This window comes from Homo sapiens, chromosome 20 (genome assembly GCF_000001405.40).
Source record: "Homo sapiens chromosome 20, GRCh38.p14 Primary Assembly".
Taxonomy (NCBI): Eukaryota; Metazoa; Chordata; class Mammalia; order Primates; family Hominidae; genus Homo; species Homo sapiens.
The window spans coordinates 706,524-712,523 of record NC_000020.11 but is presented as its reverse complement, the minus strand read 5'-3'; the positions used below and the strand labels follow the sequence as shown (position 1 = coordinate 712,523).

Sequence of the window (6,000 nt, the reverse complement as noted above, 5' to 3'; positions counted from 1 at the left end):
TGACTCTCAATTTCAATTGCACCTTCTAAAATAACATTTATTTATTTATTCATTTTTATCTATTTATTTGTATAATGTCTAGAATGGTGTCTGGCGCTTAGAAAATTCTCAAAAAAAAAAACTGTTAAATAAAACCAAGGTCAAAAGGATGTTAATTGCTACTATCATGACTAGTATTATGTGACTCTGCACATAGTCTTTCTCTATTGTTATTTGAATGGGTAGACCCCAACAAAATTAATACTGAAGACTCAATCTAGAACATAAGGGCGGAAATCAGAACTTCACCATATTCGTGTAAGATGCATAGGATGGGAAAATTCTAAAAAGTCAGAAGAATACAATGTTAGAATGTAGGATGCTTAGGGGCAGAACATCAGAATCAGAGACCAGAGTTGATGAGGAAACTAACCCTGCTATGCATGGGGTGGGAGTAGGGGTTGGTCAGAGCCAAACAGCACTTTCTAAAATCCCACCTGCTGGTTCTGGGTGTCTCCTAACTCTAGTATCCATAAGGAGATGTCCATCCTGCTAACCCAACTAACCCAGCTCAGCAAGGCAAAGAGACTGAGAAACTATTCACCCATGGCTTCAGGAGCAGCAGGAATGAAGGGAGTAAGTGGGGAGGAACAGGAAGGGGGGAAGGGAGGCCGTATTTTCCATTTTAATTCAGCTCCTGCTCACCAGGCCCCTTCTGGACTGTGGGCTCATGAGGCATCGTGGTCATGCAAGACTGGAGTATGTCATTATCAGAGGGAAACACTACTGCCACCACCTCAGGGCTAGGGGCAGAGGTTGCAGCAGTCTGAGGCCTGCCCATCTTCCCAGGGACCCTGCCCCATGCAACAGAACTGGCTGGAGGCTGGGTCCTAGTGGGTGGGGACATGAGGCTACTTAGGGACCTAGTTCCCTAGACCCAGGAGTGTGGCCCTTTCCTGCCCAGGCAATGATACACACTGTATTGGGGATGAGGGTAGGGGTCTGGCAAGTAGGGCCCACCCTCCTAATCAGGTGCCCTGCTTTGTTTTTATCTAAAGCTCATGTCACCTAGTGACCTACCTCATGTCTTACATGTTTATTTTATTTCTCATTCATCTTCCGAAGGAGACTGCGAGTCTGTGAAGGCAGCCAAGAACTCTGCTCTGCTCACGGTTGTCCCTAGCACCTAGGGACGCTACCGTGGACTCCGCACACAATAAGCGTGCCAGCCATGCTGTTCTTGGATGGAAGAGATGAAGCTGATTTCCCAGCCCTGCACACAGGGATTCTTCGCACACTGGATCACACCCTTCTTGTAGAAACTAGTGAAGGCTGTGCCTTCTCTACCCAAAAACTCACACAAGTCATATGCTGATGAAGACACTTCTCAAAGACCATAGACACACACACACACACACACACACCCAGCCCCAAGCTCAGCACAGACCACAGGTTTTTTGCCAAGCTTCACCCTACCGCCAGCTGTGAGATGAAACTCAAGGGCCTCTTTCCAGCACCAGCCATTTTTGGTTTTCCCTGTGCCCCTCCAAGGAAAATCACAGAAAACAGCAAGAACCAGCACTTGTGAGCACTCACCGTGTACCCAGCACTGCGCCAACACGGTCTCAGCCCATCACCTCCACCGCCCCGGGCGCAGGGTGGTTACCTGACGCAAATCCTCAACGGCGAGTAGGGAGAACTGTTGGAACCCCTTTCTGAACCACCACGCTATTGGCCTCTAAAATAGGCCCAGATTTATCCTGCCTTTGGGCCTCTGGTTTTCAACACTACCTGAATCACAGGCTACCTTTCTGAGGCTGGGTCAACTGCTGGCAAAACCCCAGAAAAATGCACAAAGAGACACTGTCAGGCAAATTCCCAGGCCTCTCCCTCCCACCTCCCACCTCCCCTAACCCCCACCCCCAGCCATGGGAGCCTGTAGATCCCCAAGCCAATAACCAGGCGTTAAGCACCTGCGGTACGAGATGGGTGGCAGGGTCCCCCTCTTTTCTGGACACCGCTGGGAACCCTCCGCCCCACAATTCTTCAAACTGCTGCTGTGCTTCCCCCCCACCTTCTTAATTAATACCGCACTGCTTGACAGGGCGGCCCCGCGTGCGAGTGGGCGTGCGCGCGCGTGTCTGGGGGCTGGGTGGGGGGGCCGGGGGGAGGGGGTGCTGGCTGCCTGCCCAAGAGCGAGACCCCGCCCCCAGCCCCCGGCCGCTGGAGGATTGTGAAGCTCAAACAGATGGACCGAGCCAAGGGGCGGGGGCGCGCGGATGGGGTGCGAGACGGCAGCGCGGCGGCCGGGCCTGCGGGCGCCCTGACAAAGGCGGGGCCGCGCGGCGAGGGGCGCCTTATCTGCGCCAGCAGACCGGGCGGCCCGGGGGGCGCCCACGGCCCACGCTCGGGCGCACAAAGGCCCGGGGCCGGGAGGGGGTGTGGGGGGCGCGAAGATTAATTGCCCAATCAAGTTGTCGGCGCGGGGCGGGGGCGCGGGCCTCGGCCCCGGGGGACGCGGGACGGCGCATAATGAAGTGTGCGAAAAGTTAATTTGCTCCGCGACTCGCTGCTCACCACAATCAAAGGCGGGCGGAGGGGAGCGGAGGACCGAGCAGTGTCCCCCCCACCATCCCCTCCCCCGACCCCAGCTCGTGATCCAAAGGCAGGATGAGGGGGTCACAGGGCACACGGAGTGGAGGACCGAGCAGTGTCCCCCCCACCATCCCCTCCCCCGACCCCAGCTCGTGATCCAAAGGCAGGATGAGGGGGTCACAGGGCACACTCCCACAGCTGGGGGCGGAGGTCACCAGACGTGCGCCCTACTCCCCCTTCCTCCCGCTGTGAGTCTCCCGGCAGGTCCCGTTCCCTCTCTGAGCGCCACTCTCCTCTCCTGGACTCACAATGGTTGACATTTCTGGAGCACTCACGCTGCTGGGCACAGTGCCAAGCGACCGAGCGTTTCCCTGGCGTCGTCTCCTTTTATCTCACAACCTGAGGACATAACGCCTGTGCGCATCCGTTTTAAACCTAAGGTACAGAGAAGCCCGAGAAGTACTCCAAGGTCACAGGGCTCTTACCTAGCTCAGAGCCTTAGGTGGAAAACAGCACGGTGGAAAGGGTCAAAGACAAAATACACGGAAGAATTGGGGTTGATGGTATTATTCATGCTATTGCAACAGGGAGAGCATCCCAGATCCCAAAATCAGAGTGTCTGGACAGGATGGATTTGCCTTTGACTTTTGTAGGGGTGAGGAGACAGGTTACAGCAGGAGGGATTTAAAGTGGGGATTGTCTTACAAATAGGGGATATCTCCATCAGTCCATTGAAGAGGAAATGTTCATCTCTGTGTCTAGCTAGTTTCAGAGAGGACACACAGTTCTCATCTCAGCTAATCAACCATGAGACAAAGAATGGGAAGTGGGAGGGTCCTTGGCCTTGGCCTTGTCAGCAGGTTCCAGCAAAAGGGGAAAGATCACAGGCCAGCAAGGGAGTCATCCTCCAGTCTTACAGGATACACTAGAAAGAGGGGACTACGTCTTATCTGAGTCATATGGGGAAGGGTGGCTCGTTTTGCTAAGCCATTTCCCTGAACAGAAAAGGTAGGGAGACTTCAGAAAACAAAAAGTTGGGGGGATTTCTGGACCATCGCTGTTTTTCAGGAGCACAGGGCTCAGGTAAAGTTTAACATTGTCAAAAGAGTGGCTTGATAGCACAGGTGGAGACCCTGGTACCCTGTGACAGAAGCTTTGCTGAGTGCCTTAAAGGCCCCTGCCTGATGAAGCACTCATCCTTAGTAAATATAAATACCCCTTTACCATTACCCTGGGGAGTGTGACCTCAGGCAAATCATTTAACCCTCTCTGTAAAATGAGAGCAATGATAACGATACTCACCTTCTAGGATACTCTTATCAGTGACAGCGTTCACAACAATTACAAAGCAGAGCCCTGGAACATGGTAGGTGCTCAATTAGCTATGGGCCTGGTGTGATGGCTCTTACCTGTAATCCCTGCACTTTGGTAGGCCGAGGCAGAAGGATGGCTTGAGCCCAGGAGTTCGAGACCTGCCTGGACAACATGGCAAGACCCCATCTCTACAAAAAAAAAAAAAAAAAAAAATTAGCTGGGCATGGTAGCAGTGTGCACCTGTAGTGCCAGCTACTCAGGAGGCTGAGGTGGGAGGATGGATTGAGCCCAGAAGGCTGAGGCTGCAGTGAGCTGCAATCATGCCACTACACTCATGCCTGAGCCACAGAATGAGACCCTGTCTCAAAACAAAACAAAAACAAAAGGTTAGCTGTGAGTACATACTACTATTTTCTCAGAAAGTAGTGGTGCCAGGGTTTTAACTCAAGCTGCATGTTTTCAGAGACTGCAGGCTCATCACTAGGGTACACCACCAGCTCTCCATATATGGATTCAGTCTTCAAACACCAAACACATCCTGAACCTGTGTTCCAGGTACTGGGCGCCCTGACAAGAAAAGGAGCAAGCCAGCCCCAAACAGACAATGGCACAGAAGCCACAGTGGCTGTGGGAGCTCAGAGGAAGTGCCACGGTCCCCTCCTTCAGAAGTGGCTTCCAGGCCAGAGCTGGGGTCACCCTCTAGCTCTGACTGGTGGCTCCTGAGTCCTGGTTCTCTGACCCACTGCTCAGGCCTGTCCCTGGGCCCAGGCCGGACCAGAGGACTGGCAAGGGAGCCCTTGAGAATGATAGGAGCCAGGCTTTCAAGCAAGAAGGGGCGGAGTCACAGCCAAACCAAGATTTATGGGCCCGATCATAATAATGAAAGAAGAAAAGAAAAAAAGGACGCGTGTTCGGCAATGCCCAGGGACCAGGACTGCCGCCCTATTACCAAAAATGTCGTCGCTCTCGACTCTGCAAATTAGCATAAAACATGCTGTTTTGCATTCATTTGCATATCATTTGCATGCTAATGACTTGACGACACAATGCACCCAGTCCCCTAAGAGGCTTCTGGTCTTAGCTTCTCTCTTAGCCCCTGCCCCTTGTCTTGTATTGAGAAAAATAGGAGATCTGGGTTCTAGTCTAGGCTGGGCCACTCACTGGGCAGATCCCTGCTCCTCTCTGAGTCTCAGTTTCCCTGACTGTGAGCTGAAGGAGATAAACTGAGCAGGGATTTTCAAGTTATGCTCCAGTAGGCCTCTTGGGGGCTGCAGACACAGAGACGGGGAAGCAGGTGGGGCAGGCGCCCCCCTTCAATCCCCTGCTAACAGCTGGGGCTCTGAGTAAAATTTCTCCTGACCAATGCAGAGCTTCTCTGTTAAAAACAAAGACCAAAAAGTTTGCAAACAAATGAACTCAGATTTCTCCACTGAGTCTTTCCAGTGCAATGTTTTCCAAAGACGTTAATAATAATGATCAGAGTTAAAATATATAGCACTTACCATAGAGCAGGCACTGTTTGAAGCACCAGACATATATAATTCACTTAATCCTCCCGCAGCCCTTGAAATAGGTGTTATTATTGTACCTCCATTTTACATGTAGGTAAACTGAGAACGAAAGGTTGAGTAACTTAGCTAAATTCATATGGTCACTACGTGGTAAAGGTTCAAACCCAGGCAGTCTGGCTCTAGAGTCTACACCATGAGTTTATCCAGGTCAACCCTTCCGTTGCACAGATGAGGAAACAGGCCCAGAGAGGGAGAGAAAATTTCTAAGCACAGCAGTGAAACTGCCCCTTGAACCTTTCTGCCCAAGCCCAGACTCTGCCACCCAGGGAAGGATGGCTGGAAAAGGGAGGCCTGGGGTTTCAAACATGGTCCAATGGGCGTGCAACGGTAAAGGGTGCCTTCTTTGTGGCCACCACCAGCGCCTGTGTCTTCCTCCTCAGCCAGCCTAGTCCCAGCTGGTAGACTCCAGGGAACAGACCCCTGAGCCAGGCAGGATGAGCCCCTAAATCAGGCAACCAGCAGGCTGGTGAATGCCAGGTGTGCCGGCCGGAACACACAATGCCCTGCCTGACTGTGCAGGTGGAGGCACCACAGAGCGGGG

At 52.6% G+C, this 6,000-nt stretch overlaps 1 annotated feature.

Annotated features, from left to right (window-relative positions):
* Positions 3,332–3,532: a silencer, noted in NCBI's record as "peak4111 fragment used in MPRA reporter construct". NCBI's record gives its function as "represses an SCP1 promoter by STARR-seq MPRAs in K562 erythroleukemia cells {active_cell/tissue: K562}" and the evidence as "EXISTENCE:reporter gene assay evidence [ECO:0000049][PMID:32103011]".